The 13,582-nt window shown below is 61.9% G+C and overlaps 1 protein-coding gene across 4 annotated transcripts in view, besides 2 other annotated features; it reads right to left on the bottom strand.

The window, feature by feature from the left end:
- The window catches only part of KCNT1 (potassium sodium-activated channel subfamily T member 1), a 93,318-nt gene that overhangs the window by 67,800 nt on the left and 11,936 nt on the right, over positions 1-13,582 (bottom strand). For 3 of the 4 annotated variants that reach the window (NM_020822.3, XM_011518878.4, XM_011518879.4), the window contains exon 2: positions 12,983-13,126. The exons of the other annotated variant lie outside the window; for it this stretch is intronic. In NM_020822.3, the coding sequence (NP_065873.2) occupies positions 12,983-13,126 (144 nt within the window). The remainder of the gene's footprint in view (positions 1-12,982; positions 13,127-13,582) is intronic. 4 annotated transcript variants of the gene reach the window in all.
- Positions 3,278-3,855: an enhancer, noted in NCBI's record as "H3K4me1 hESC enhancer chr9:138615694-138616271 (GRCh37/hg19 assembly coordinates)". NCBI's record gives its function as "activates a minimal SCP1, AML or CMV promoter by ChIP-STARR-seq in naive H9 embryonic stem cells {active_cell/tissue: H9 hESC(naive)}" and the evidence as "EXISTENCE:reporter gene assay evidence [ECO:0000049][PMID:30033119]".
- Positions 8,786-9,080: an enhancer, noted in NCBI's record as "tiled region #14740; HepG2 Activating non-DNase unmatched - State 20:ReprD, and K562 Activating non-DNase unmatched - State 20:ReprD". NCBI's record gives its function as "activates a minimal TATA promoter and a strong SV40 promoter by Sharpr-MPRA in HepG2 and K562 cells {active_cell/tissue: HepG2 | K562}" and the evidence as "EXISTENCE:reporter gene assay evidence [ECO:0000049][PMID:27701403]".

Below are 13,582 nucleotides of genomic sequence, written 5' to 3'. Positions count from 1 at the left end.
GGGGCTGGGGGCCGGGATGCAGAGTGGCCTTTGGCATGGCGGACACCACCCGGCCTGGTGCCACACCTCCCTTCAAAGGCACAACAGTACCACCAGGCATGGAAGAGGTCCTCCTCTCCCAAAGGTGACACACGGCTGGGCTCCCCCTCCCCGTTCCCAGGCCCCTCGGGCTGGGCCTTGACTAATCACTGTGGAGGGGACCCTGCAGAGAGTGGGGAAACTGACAGAGAGAGAGGGAGAGAGAGAAAGAGAGAGAGAGAGAGAGGGAGAGGGGGGAGAGAAGGGAAAAGAGAGGGAGAGAGTGGGAGAGAGAGGGAGAGAGAGGGAGAGGGAGAGAGAGAGAGAATGGGAAAGAGGGAGAAAGAGGGAGGGAGAGAGGGGGAGAGAGAGAATGGGAAAGAGAGGGACAGGGAGAGAGAGAGAATGGGAAAGAGAGGGAGAAAGAGGGAGAGAGAGAGGGGGAGAGAGAATGGGAAAGAGAGAGAGAGAGGGAGAGGGAGAGAGAGAATGGGAAAGAGAGAGAGAGGGAGAAAGGGGGGAGGGAGGGGGGGAGAGAGGAAGAGGGAGGGAGAGAGGGAGGGAGGGAGAGGGGAGAGAAGGGGAAAGAGGGAGAGAGAGGGAGAGAGAGAATGGGAAACAGAGGGAGAGAGGGAGAGAGAGAGAGAATGGGAAAGAGAGGGAGAGGGAGAATGGGAAAGAGAGAGGGAGAGAGGGAGAGAGAGAATGGGAAAGAGAGGGAGAGGGAGAATGGGAAAGAGAGGGAGAGGGAGGGAGAGAGAGAGAGGGAGAGAGAGAGAATGGGAAAGAGGGAGAGAGGGAGAGAGAGAATGGGAAAGAGAGAGGGAGAGGGAGGGAGAGAGACAGGGAGAGAGTGAGAGAATGGGAAAGAGAGGGAGAGAGAGAGAGAATAGGAAAGACGGAGAGAGAGGAAGAGAGAGAGAGGGAGAGAGGGAGGGAGAGAGGGAGGGAAAGGTAGAGAGTGAGAGAGAGAGAGGGAGGGAGAGAGGTAGAGAGAGAGAGAGGGAAGGAGAGATAGAGGGAGGGAGAGACAGAATTAATTAGCTAATCATCAGGTTGGGGGCGGGAGTAGGGCGAGGCCTTGGCAGAGTCTGATCTGGGTCTCCAAGGGGCCCCGTCCGTAGCAGAACTTGGCTTACCTGGGGTGCCTCGCTTTACCCTCCCAACAGGTTCTACCTACCAAGGGACCCACTGAGGCTTGGAACGGGGTGGGGGTAAAGATGCGGCCCTGGCCACATGGCGAGCCACAGAAGCCAGGGGGAGCTCTGAGCTCAGGCCACCCAAGACTGGGCTGGCTTTGCTCCCAGGGGCACTTCTGTCCCTGGGGGTACGGCCTCATCCAGGTCCCTGGAAGGGATCCGAGACCCAGGGAGGCCCCAGAGGGCCCTGCAGGCCGGGAGTCTCCCCCGGGGGCTGCTGGCCCTGTGCCACGTAGTGCTGTGGAGAGGGGCTGGGAGCATCCACCGCAGGCCCTCAGCTGCCCCTGCCCCAGCCCAGCCCCCAGCCCAGACAGCGCCCTGGCTCCTCCTGTCCCCTCCCCTCATCCCCCTGCCCCCACGACTGCAGGCCTCTCCCCAGTCCTTTGCCGGCCCTTCTGTGGATCAAGGTCAGGGGAGGATGTGGGGGTCTCTTGCCCTGACAGGCCCCTCCTCCTGGGTGGGGTGGCCACTCCGAGCCCCCACAGCCATGGCTCCTGGGTGGTGGCCGGGGAGGCTGCTGCCCACCAACCCCTCTTCCTCCCCAGACCCCTATCGCCCAGGTGGTTCCTCCTGCCAGACCTGGGCTCCCAGGGCGGGTGGGAGGGGGCCTCTTTTCCGGCATTTCTGCTTTCCAGCATATATTCAATCAACTTAGGACACGCCCAGGCAAACCGCCCAGCAAAAGGACGGGGCTGTGCTGGAAACAGACTCTGTCCGCCTGGACCCGGCTGAGGGTCCCAAACCCAGCAAGGGCAGCCACAGCTCCACGTGGGAACCTCCTTAGTGGCCCCTGGGGCCCCCCCGGCTTTGGTGCTGTCCCAGAGTGACCCCTGCACCCTCTCATTTGTGCATGGGTGTCCTGGGGCTCAATACCACAAACTGAGTGCCCAAAACTACAGCGGTCTCTTCTCTCTGTTCTGGAGACCAGAATGCAAAATCCTGGTGTTGGCAGGTCCACCCTCCCCCGCAAGCGTAGCGGGTCCTCCGCCGTCTCCAGCTCCTGGTGGCCCTGGGCTCGTGGTAGCGTCACTCTGATCTCTGCGTCTGTCCCGGCGTGGCTTCTTCTCTGTGTCTCTGGGTTTGTTCCTTCTCTTCGTATAAGTCACTGGATCTGAGCCCCTCGGTCCAGAATGGCCTCACCTTGAGATCCTCAACTAATCACATCTGCAAAGACCGTGTTTCTACATAAGCCACATTCTGGGGTTCTGGGAGGACAGGAATCTTTCGAAGGCCCTGTTCAAACACTATAGGGGACCTGGAGTACTCTCCACAGACCCCTCCTTCTGAGGTCCCCCCCGGCAGCTGTGTGGCCCTCGACAGGCCCCGCCCTTCTGAGGACTCCGTTTTCCTGTCTGTGCAGGGAGGCGGTTGGGCCATTGAGCCACCAAGGGATCCTGGGCTGGGTTTGTCATGTGTCCACCACACGCCCCCCCACGCAGTTGCCTCCTGGGTGGGGCAGGGACAGGCCCCAGCGCTGCTTCCACCAAGATTACCCTCAGGATCACATGGGGGAGCCCAGGGGCACCCCCTCTCATGGGGGGAAGACCCTGTCAGATCTGTTGTCTGCTAGAGGGAAGGTTCAGGGTCATCCTCGAAGCCAGTGGTGGGGGGCCCATCTGTGCCTGCAGGAGCCCAGGCTCTGCCTGGGCGGAGGAAGCTCCAATCCAGGTGGGTGGCCGGGGCCTTCATGTTGGGCCTCTCGGGGCAGCCCAGCCGACCCAGCCGGAGCTAGGGATCCCAATGAAATACATGACACACCTGGTGAGGTTTCAATGTCAGATGGAAAATAATTGTCTTAAGTATAAGCACGTCCCCGATATTGGATAGGATACACTTCCACTGGGAAATGATTCACTGTTTATCTGACAGTCATATTTAACCAGGCATCCTGTATTTGTATTTGCTGAATCTGGTGCCTACAGCAGACACTCAACTTGACCTCTGTTGCATGACTGAATGAATGAATGCCTGCATACGTGGAGGAAGGAACAGGCAGACTGGCCACGCCCCTCGCCGACCACTGGCCTGCCTGGATCCTGCAGGTGAGGACCTGGTTCTCTGGCCACCACAAGGCTGTGCCTGCCCCCGTTGGCCTGTGCTTCCCTGGGCACTGCCTTCACTCTTGTTTGAGGCTCAGGGGGCTCAGGATGGGAGTGCACGCGGGGCCCGCTGTCTCTACCCGCCCACGGCTGCCCCCACCTGTGCAGATGGTGCCCCCTGAGCCACCCCCAGCCTGGCCTCCGGGGATGAAAAGCACCCCATGGGGAGGACACAAAGTTGAGGCCCCTGGAGGCCTGACCCTGAGGCTGGCCTGGACTGCAAGGCCCTTGGTGCCCTCCCCCTGTGCCTCTCGAGCCTCTGAGCCTGGATCCCACAGTCAGCTCTTATTCAGGGGCCCATGATGGATAAAAATTCAGAGGGGAAAGCAGGAGTGCTGGGAGGAGGGCATGGAGCTTCCCGGGGCCTCTTATGAAAACCTGGAGAGGAAGAGACGGGCTCAGAGTGAAGGTGGCAGGGATACCTGGGCCTCCCCAGCCCACAGCACCCTCAGGGGAACGGACACTGGTCTGGGACGGGGCTGCGCTGAGCCATGGCGCTCAGACTGGATGGAGGAGGGGGTGTTCAAGGACATGAGGTACCTGTGCTGGGCTGGGGGCAGCCGGACACCAGGCCTGCAAGCCCCGAGGGGTGGCCTGGCACTGAAGGCGGTGATGCCTTTGATGGACTTGCCAGACTGGCAGAATCATCAGTAACAAGGTCCCTGGGACACGGCACTTCCCGGGACAGCTCTAGATGCTCCGGACACCCACCAGGAGAGCCAGGGCCCCCTTCCTACTGACAGGGCTCTGAGGCCCCCCAAGCCCCAGGGTCCCTCTGGAGGCAGCAGGCCCCGTGTAGACATGGCCATGCAGCAGACGCGTGGGCACAGCTGTCGGTCGCACAGGCACAAAATGCCCCTTCGGGAGCCACACGCTCACGTGGTGCACAAGAACTTCCTGCCAGGGAGCAGCAGCCTCTCCTCCCTGCCTGCCACCCTGTGGAGCCAAGCCTCGGGCAATGGCAGTGGATGCCGGCGCCGGCCCTGTTCATGCAGGTGGCATTCCATGTTGACCCCAAGATGGACGATATCTCCTGGAACAGGATGCAGGACAATTTCTAGGTACAGCTGGAACTCCTGACACCCCACCAACGCTTTTGCTTTTGGGACCTGGTGGAGGGGTGACGGGTCACGGGACAGCTCACCCACCCTGCCAGGCCTCTGGGGTGCTGCCCTGCAGGCGAGCTCTGCAGCCCCCAGCTTCCTGCACTCTGCAAGTTCACTGCCTCGGAGAGCCACGCCCGTCACTGACTGCTGGGGAGGCACAGGCAGTGTGGCCTCAGCCTTCACTCACACAGTGGCCGCTGTTGTGATGAGCGCTGGAGAGGAGAGGAAAGCTGCATGCAGGAGGCTCTCCCGAGGGACCTGGCAGATGCCCTTGAAGTTTAAGGAATTTGAAATGAAGGGGCAACTTAATCCCCCGGAGGATTTCCCACGACATCTTTTGCAGCGTCCCCTTCTTTCCCTCCAAGCCTGCTCCAGGCTGAATTGCACCCCCAGATTCCCTTGTTGAAGCCCCCACCGCTGATGGGATGGTATTTAGAGACAGGGCCTTCAGGAGGTGAGTAGGCTTGGACGAGTTCATGAGAGTGGGGCCTCGGGATGGGAGCAGTGCCCCACAGGAAGAGAGCAGAGAGCCTGCATTCTCTGCCCCGTGGGCGCAGTGAGAAGACGCCACGTGCAAGCCTGAGAGATGCTCTCACCAGGAGCCTGGTCCGCCGGCGCCTTGATCCTGGGCTTCCAGCCTCCAGAACTGAGAAATAAATCTCTGTTGCTGAGGCTGCCGGGTCTGTGGTGCTTTTCCATAGCAGCTGGGAAGACTGAGACGAGGCATAAACACACTTACACCCATTCCATTTCAGCTGGACGCGCCGGATGATGGAAACGGAACAGTGGAGGGAGCGCATTGGGAATTACAACCTGAAGCCCAAACGGTTGGTGGCTTCCTGACGCGGAGGATGCCAGCCCCTCCCACTGGGCATCTGTGTTCTGTTTTACACTAATGCGGGAGGAATTTCATTTTGTGTCACACACATGAGTCCCTGGGACATGGGCTTGGTGATGAAGCCGTGTGCCCCGCTGTGCCGGCCCCAGGGGTGGGACGGGGGATGCAGCCCCAGGGGACGCGGGATTCGCCCTCTCAGGGTCTCCCTGGATATCCTGGGGGTGTGTTTGGGGGAGCCAGAGGCCCCCCGCTTGAGTCATAAAGACGCACAGGCTGAGGACTGAGCCAGCCCTGGGCCCAGGGGTATCACGGACCCTCCTCCATGCCCCCACAGCCAGGTGATGCCCCACAAGACACCGTTCACATGTGATGGGCCCTGGTCACCGACAGCCTCTGTGGCCCTCCTGTTGATCCTGCCCACTCCTTGGTCACCCAGGGCTGGAGGCAACGCAAGCCCCTGGAACCCACCGTCGGAGGGAGGGACAGGGCTAGGAGGAAGGTGCAGCCCACCCGGGAGCCACAGTCTCCACAGCAGAGGCGTCACCTTCCCCCACCCTGACTCAGGCCCACCTTCCAGGACCCTGCTTCCTGGTAGGGGGCCCAGGAGACAAGGGCGAGCAGGCCTGGCCTCCAGCCCTGTCCACAGTCGAGTGGGGGCAACACAGGCAAACCGACCCTGAGCTGGAAAGGGACTGGAGAAATCATGACATGCATTTCACTCACTCAGGACACCGTAAAGCACATGGAACCTGCCAGAACTTTTGGACACCATCCCGGGCCTTTCCTGCTCCAATAAACCAGACCTTGACTCAATCATGCAGGTGGCACACCAAGGGGGTCCAGGAAAGACAGACAGGCGGCCCCGAGGCTCTGGGATTGGCTCCTGGTATGCGCATGGCCGGCACCCTCCCCCGGCCAGGAGACCCCAGCCTGCCTGGGCCCCACCGGCCTGGCCAAGGCCATTTCTCAGGCTGGCCGTGTCCTCCCAAGCCTGTGGGTGTTTGCTCTGGAAAGGGCCCCAGGGCGAGAAGGGCCAGGGGCAGGACTGGGATCCCACCTGGCCCCTCCCTGCCCTATTAGTACGCCTGCACACAGCAGGATGGCCCCGGGCAGAATGTTAAATATAACCACCCCCTACCCCACCACCCCCAGGGACTGAGCAGGCTGGCGTTTCCCTGAGCTCAGCAGCTCTGGGCAGGAGGCACGCCAGGGGACCCGGTGCTGGAGCGGAGTGGCTTCGAGGCTGGGGCTGGCCCAGCAGCTCAGGCCGAGAGCGTTGGGGGCCACTTCAGCCCCTTCTGGGGGTCCCCCAGTCCAGGGGCCACCCTTCCCAAACTCAGCTCCAGGCCTCTCCCACCCCAGCCCTCACCCTGCATGGTTCCCCGACTCCTCCTCGAACCTTCACGGCCCCTAAACCACCACTGCCCCTTGGGCTCGGCCGTGTGTCCCTCGTGCCCCACCCTCACCTTTGGGTCAGGCCTGGCCACACCCTTCCTCCTGACTGTCCCCCTCTGTTTCAAAGCTCCAGCTACACCTGAGTCTGTCACATGGGGACCTGGGGCCCTAAGGCAGGAGCAGGGTGGTGCAGGCGCAGCCCAGCCCTAGCTTCCCCAGAGCACCCCCGAAGGAGAGCTGACCTGTGCCCTAGGTCCTGCCCAGGCCACTCACGCCTTCACGCAGAAACTCTGGGCTCAGTGCCCTTCAGGGAGCTGGGGCTGGCTCCCGGGCCTTCTCAGCTCAGGGTCCCAGAGTGGCCTTCAGAGAGCAGGTGGGGTTGGGGGTACAGGCAGGACCCCCGCCCCCAGCCCCAAGAGAGGCGGAGCAAAGCTCCCTCTGGAGGAAGGCTGCCTGGGCCCCCTGCTTCTTCAGCAGGGGCCAGGCTGGTGTGTGGGGGCAGGATGATGGGGGTGGGGAGGGGATAGGAAGAGATGATGGAGCTGGGAGGGCTGGGCAGGAGGAGGGCACTTATGCAATCCCAGGCTCTTCGCAGGAGGGATGATTCTAGAAGGCCCTCAGCACACCGAGTCACCCAGGTCTCAAGGCACTTCCCCGACCAGCTGAGAAATTGTTCAGCTATTAAGGATGACAGATGAGGGCTCGGAGGGCAGGGCTGTTCCTAGAGACATCCCCACCGCAACCCCTTCTGCTTGGAGGCCTGGTGGGGCCTTCACCCTGTGAGAGAAGCCTCTCTCTGTTCCCAGCTACCCTGTCCCTGCGGGGCAGCTGGATTCACTGTGGGGTAGGGTCGGGTGAATGGAAGGGGTGCATCCAGCAGGGCCAGGGAGGGGTCTGGGCTGCCCCCTCCTTCTGCACCCATTCCTGCTCCTGCTGGCCCTGCCTGGCCCATCCACAGTTGCTGCCTGTGGGGCCGGCAGGGGTCCATCCTCCACGCAGGCCCGCTGCCCCGTGTTCCCAGCAATGCCGGGCCCTGTTTGTGGTCCACTTCTCAGCTTGTTGTGTGAAAAAATATTTGGTGTTGCTCAACTCCAGAGAACCAAGTCAAGTTCCGTTCTCTGTTGTCAGAGGAGCTAATGAAACAGCCTGGTCAGGCCGCTCTGGGGCAGTGTTCTGACCCCGGGAGGCCTGCACTGGGGCCGGGCTTTCTGTGGCAAGGCGGCCACTCCCTTCCCAGGTGACCCTGGTGCCTGGGCCCCATGGCACCAGCTTGGGGCACTCAGCTTGGGGTGGCCCAAGGAGCCAAGGCAGTGGCCCTGGCCATGCTCAGGGACGAAGCTTCCTCTTGCCTGCCGGAAGCCCCAGCCAGTGGGCAGGGCCTTCCTGGCACCTCTCATGTCCTGCTTAATGCCTGGGAGTGTTGGCGACCCTGACGTTGCCTCCAGTGGTGGCTTCAGTGGCCCCGGTGGGCTGGGTCCTGGTGCAGCATGGCGGGGGGTGGCTGCCTGCCCCACCCCTCCCCACTGGGACTCCTTGTCTGGAATCTGCCCCTTTGGAGAGATGGGCCTGTGGTGTGACAGCCCCAAGTGTCCCCAAAGCATGCATCCCCCGACATACACAGCATCTTCCTGAGCCTCAGTGCAGGGCAGGATGGAAGCCGCACCTCCACTGCCACAGACCAGAGTCTGCACAAGGTGCCTGGGACCCAGCTCGGGGACACCGTCAGGACCCAAGCCCTCAGGCAGCCCCTGTCCCGCTGGCTCCTCGAGCTGCCCTTTGGGGGCTGTTAACCCCTCTGCAGAAGAAGAGCCCAAGTCTGTGTCCTCCAAGGGCCATGACGCTCACTTAGGCTTCCGGGACACTCTTGAGAGCTGGCTCTGGCTGGGAGGGCCAGGGCCTCCATCAGTTGCCCCTGGACTCCCAGGCAGAGGGGCAGTGAGACTGTCAGCATGGCTCAAGGGGCTCCAGAGCCTGGGCGCAGGTGGACTGTGGCTGAATGCTGCTCCATGGGAGCACCCGAGACACCATCTGGTAAGCAGTGGTGAGGGTCCACCATCAGGTCCCTGAGGTGAGTGAGCTCCCAACTCTGTCCACTTCCTCCACCGGGCGGTACCGATGGGCTGGGTCATCCCCGCTGGGAGCGGCCTGCCCAGCAGTACAGCCTCCTCTGCCCACATGGCCCGCCGAGCTCTTCTCTGTCCAAGGCCACGGGCGATGGAGGCTGTGGTGACTCACTGCCAGAGGCTCTACTCCCGGGGGAAACAGGAAGCCCGAGTCCTGCCCGCCCACCTGCTCGCTCACAGCCTGCCAGGGGTTGGCAGCAGCACCCGCTTCCCTCACAGAGCCTGCCCCAGGGTAGAAATAGGGAGGGCGTGAGGGGTGCCAGTCTGTGCTGAGCCCCCACATTGCACCTGCCCTGTGCTGATGGTTGGGTCTCCCTGCCCCTCAATCTCTTCCCCTGGTGCAGAGAGAGACCAAGCGGCACTTCCACCTTACCCAGACCTGAGACACCCCCATGGCCAAGGCCACCACGATGGTCCCTCAGGGGCCCGAGTGGAGCCTGTGCTGCCGTGTCCGGGCACACCAGCCCTTCCGTCCACAGCCCAGGACCCCATCCCAGTGTCCCCTCCCCTCTACCTAAGGGCTTTCTCACCCAGAGCCGGCAGGCAGGTCTTGCTGGGCTCAGCCCTTTCAGACCTGGGCCCCCTATGGCCTCCAGACCCCGCCTGCACTCCCTCCTGCATTCAGATAAGCACGTCCTCCCACCTCACACGGCTCCTGTGAGTCACTGCAGTACACAGGAAGGGGGTCCCACCAGGCCAGGCAGACGACCCCTGGTCTCCACTCCAGGAAGGGGAAGGCACAGGCACTGGGGATGAGGAGGAAGATGAGGAGATATGGGATGGCTTCTAATGGCAGATAGAGGCATCAGACCCCACCCCAAGCACCCAGGAGGGTCCTCCAAGCGGCTGATCCCCTCCTCCAGGTCAGCTTGGGGTTTCCACAGAGCCAGGGCTGGGGTCCCCACGTGCGTGTCCTTATGGATAGGGGAGGGCTTGGGTGACCTCAGGACCCCTGTCAGCATCCTGATTTCCCTCATTGTTGCCCACCCATTCCAGCATCGGGGTCATGAGAGAGGCCATGCCAGACTCACCCAACCCTACCATGGAGGCTGAAGCAAGCCCCTTTGGGCAAAGAAGGTTTGAGGAAGAGAAACCCTTCAGGCCAGGCTCCCTGAGCTGCCTTCAAGAGGAGAGGCCCCCAGGCTGCTGCTGAGACCAAGGAGCTGCCATTCCTGGGTGGGGTAAGTGGGGGTTCCCCGGGCTCCTAGGCCTCTAGGGCACCCTCTCTTACATCCAGTCGAGGCAATTTCTCAGGAGGGCCTGAGTCCACGTGAGGAGCGGGTTCAGCTGTGCCGGGCAGCGGCTGGCGAGCTGGCAGGTGACTTGGGCAGAAGCCCCCAACTCACTTGCCCCTGCGCCCCCGGAAAGTTGCCCACTCCTGTACTGTGCCCAGCCAGCCTCACCAGCCCCCGCAGCCTCCAGGGGGAGCCAGGCAAAGCTGCTGGGAACCGGGCTGGACACCAGCCGACCAGCAGCCCCCCACCTTCCAGATCTCGGGGTGCCCAAGGCCACCATCTCCACCAGGCCCAAGCTTCCTCTCAGAGGTGAGAAGTGGGGAACCACTCTCAGAGGGAAGCTAAGTCCCCTCCCTGTCCCATCCTATAGACACCAACACCACAGGAGCCAGGTCCCCTTCCCTCTCATCCTATAGACACCAACACCACAAGAGCCAGGTCCCCTTCCCTCTCATCCTATAGACACCAACACCACTGGGGCCAGGTCCCCTCCCTCCCATCCTATACACACCAACACCACAGGGCCAGGTCCCCTCCCTCCTGTCCTATACACACCAACACCACAGGGCCAGGTCCCCTCCCTCCCGTCCTATAGACACCAATACCACAGGGGCCAGGTCCCCTCCTGTCCTATAGACACCAACACCACAGGGGCCAGGTCCCCTCCCGTCCTATGCACACCACCACCACAGGGCCAGGTCCACTCCCATCCTTCACACATGAGAAAAGGTATGCAGCACAGCATCTCTGAGGCCATCTTGAGGGACAGCGCCACAGGACAGGTATGGCGACCACACAGCCCCGAAGCTCTAATCCCTGGCCACTCTCCCTCCAATAGAACCTCACTGTATACTTCATTTCCAACCAGAGAGAGCAGGGCACTTGTGGGGGTGGCACAGATGCCCTGTACCCCATGGGCCTTTCCTGGAGAGGACCCACAGCCACGCACTAGCTAGCACACACAGCCACACACGTCCAGCGGTCCACCTCCTAATACCATCGGCACACAACCCATGTGCCCAGTGGGCACAGCACGCCAAGACCGCTAGAATGCAAATCGGTAGCTGCCAGGGGCTGGGGGATAAGGGGGCATTGGGGAGTGAGTCCCAGTGGTTAAGGAGATTCCTTCTAGGGTATACAAATGTTCTCGAATTACAGTGGTGAGGGTGGCACAGTGTTGTGTACTAAATGTCACTAACGGTAAATTCTGTTTTATGTATTTTACCACAATTTTAAAAAACCACACCCAGGATCAGGGACTCATTGTGAAATCCCATGCCAGCTTCTCCTCTCCCAGGGATGGGCATGGTTCTCTCTAGGCGGACAGCAAAAGCCTCTGCTGTCCACTCCTGAACACTCAGGAATACAGCATTACAATTTGATCAACCACAGCCACAGGCGTTATCGAGTCATCTGGGAGCCCCAGGCACCATTAGGCGGATGGACACCACTTCCTGCCCAATATCGGAAGGATCTCCCAGGGCTGCCGTTTTCAAGAATTAACCAAGTCCCAGCTGAACAGGCATCTGAGGGGCTGGTGCTGGCTTAGAAAGATGTTGAGTCCACGGATTCGGCCTAGGGAAGCTTTGTGTGGCTCCCAGGAGAGCCTCCCAGCCACGCACGCCGCCCTGGGACCAGCCTGGCTGACTGCCCTCTGCCCACACAGGGAGATAAACTAAACTCTTCACCTGGGCATTTGCACTTAGGTGGGCTCATTATTAGAGCACTGAGTTCAACAAGATGAAAAACCAAGTTTAAAAGGCCTCTCTGCAGGACGCTCACTCCCTGATTCTGAGTGGATGAAGACTGGGCTCAGTCCCCACTCCTGACTCTTGGTTCACACAACCAAATGTTATGGGAGGTCTGGTAGAATATTCCATTCCCCGCAGGCAGAGGGGTTTTAAGACCCCCTTTTTACAAATCTTCATGGTCCTCATGGATACAGTCCCTAGGACTGACTCTAGTTACAAACATGATTTCTTTTTCAGCTGCGGTTTCAGCAGTAGATTATTCTGAAAGCTGTTTGTGTCCTGACCATTTTCAACCTCGTGTACTTTGTGTGCTAACCGGAATAACTGCGTTGTTGGGGGAAAGTGCGGATTTGCTAGCTGAGCCCAGGGCTGGGTGGTGACGGAGCCCTGGAGACAGTGACAACCCCGACCCTGCCGTACCCTACACGCTGGAAGAGGAGCGGTTCCTGACCTGAAGCCCCCGCGGGCTCCAGCTCCGCGTGAGTCCTCAGAGCACTTGCCTTCACTTGCAGGCAAAAAAGCGCCTCCCCAGAGCCTGGCAGAGCTAAAGTGCTGGGTGTTTACCCAAGACAGCTATTTGGGGAAAAGGAGGAGAGAAAAGCAACATTTCTTCCAGCTTCCTGCCAGCCCCCTCAGCGGATGAATTATTCCCATGGGCTCATCCTGTTGGTCCTTAACTGAAAGACACAATTCATTTTGCCTTTTTAGCCCAGGAGATGTTGAGGGGACGGGGACACGGTGACTCGGAATAAGTGACCAGGTCACGAACCTGAAGGACAAGCTCCCTCATTGAATAATTAATCAAGGACCGCTGCCTGAGCCTGGAGGACGCCAGCCCTCAGCCAGGCTGCGGGCTCCGCCACCGGGGCGCTTCCGGCCCTGGCTTGCCCCCAAAACCAGAAAAACTGGGGTGCTGGGGGTTGGGAGCAGACACCGGAAGGCCAGGCCGCCCTCCGCCTCCGCGCCCCAAGTCGGGCTCTGGAAGACTCCGCAGCTCCGAGCATCCCGCGCCCTCCTCCGGAGACCCCCTCCCGAGAAGATGCTTCCCCCTGCCCGCACCCCCTCCGAAACTTCTGCGTCCCCAGAAGCCGGGAAAAGTTGAAGGGCGCCGGCGGCTGCGGGGGCGCGCGGGACCGGCCGTCAGCACCGCGGACAGCTCCGGGCGTGCGGCGGCGCCGGGACGGCGACCCCAGCCCCCACCCCGCGCCCGGTCCCTACCTGTCGTCGTTCTGGAAGGACGGGTCGCCCAGCAGCAGGTCCCGGAAGCGGTAGCGCGGCGGCAAGGGCAGCACCTCGGAGTCCAGGTCGCTCATCTTGAAGCCGGCGGTGTCCAGGAGCGCGCCGTCCCCCGCGCAGGGCCGCCTGCGGGCACACGCCAGCGCCCCTCAGCCCGCGTCGGGCGCCCTCGCGGACGCGCGCAGCCCCCGGCCCGCCAGGCCCGGCCCGCGCAGCGCAGCCCGCGGCCACCGCGACCCACCGGGCGGGCGGGCGGCCGGGCGGGGGCGGGCCTGGCGGCACATGCGGGCGGGGGCGCGCGGGACCGGCTGCGCCGGGCTGGGGCTAGGGCGGGGGCTGCGCAGGGGCAGGGGGCGGGGCTCCCTCCAAAGCGGCCCCGGGGCCTGGCAGGAGGTAAGGGGGACGGGAGCTGTCATGGCCAGCTCAGGGACAGGCGCGCACCACTCCTCCCTGATCCCCCAAGAGCCAGGATGGAGGCCCTCCCCCTGCTCTGAAGCCCCGCCACACCCCTGCAACCCCTCCCAACTCCCCAGCTCCCCTCCCCGTCCCCAGGGTCTTTGCCGAGGCCGGCTGCTCAATCTT

This window comes from Homo sapiens, chromosome 9, assembly GCF_000001405.40.
Source record: "Homo sapiens chromosome 9, GRCh38.p14 Primary Assembly".
Classification (NCBI taxonomy): Eukaryota; Metazoa; Chordata; class Mammalia; order Primates; family Hominidae; genus Homo; species Homo sapiens.
The sequence above is the reverse complement of the archived record's forward strand: the minus strand, read 5'-3'. Positions and strand labels throughout refer to the sequence as shown.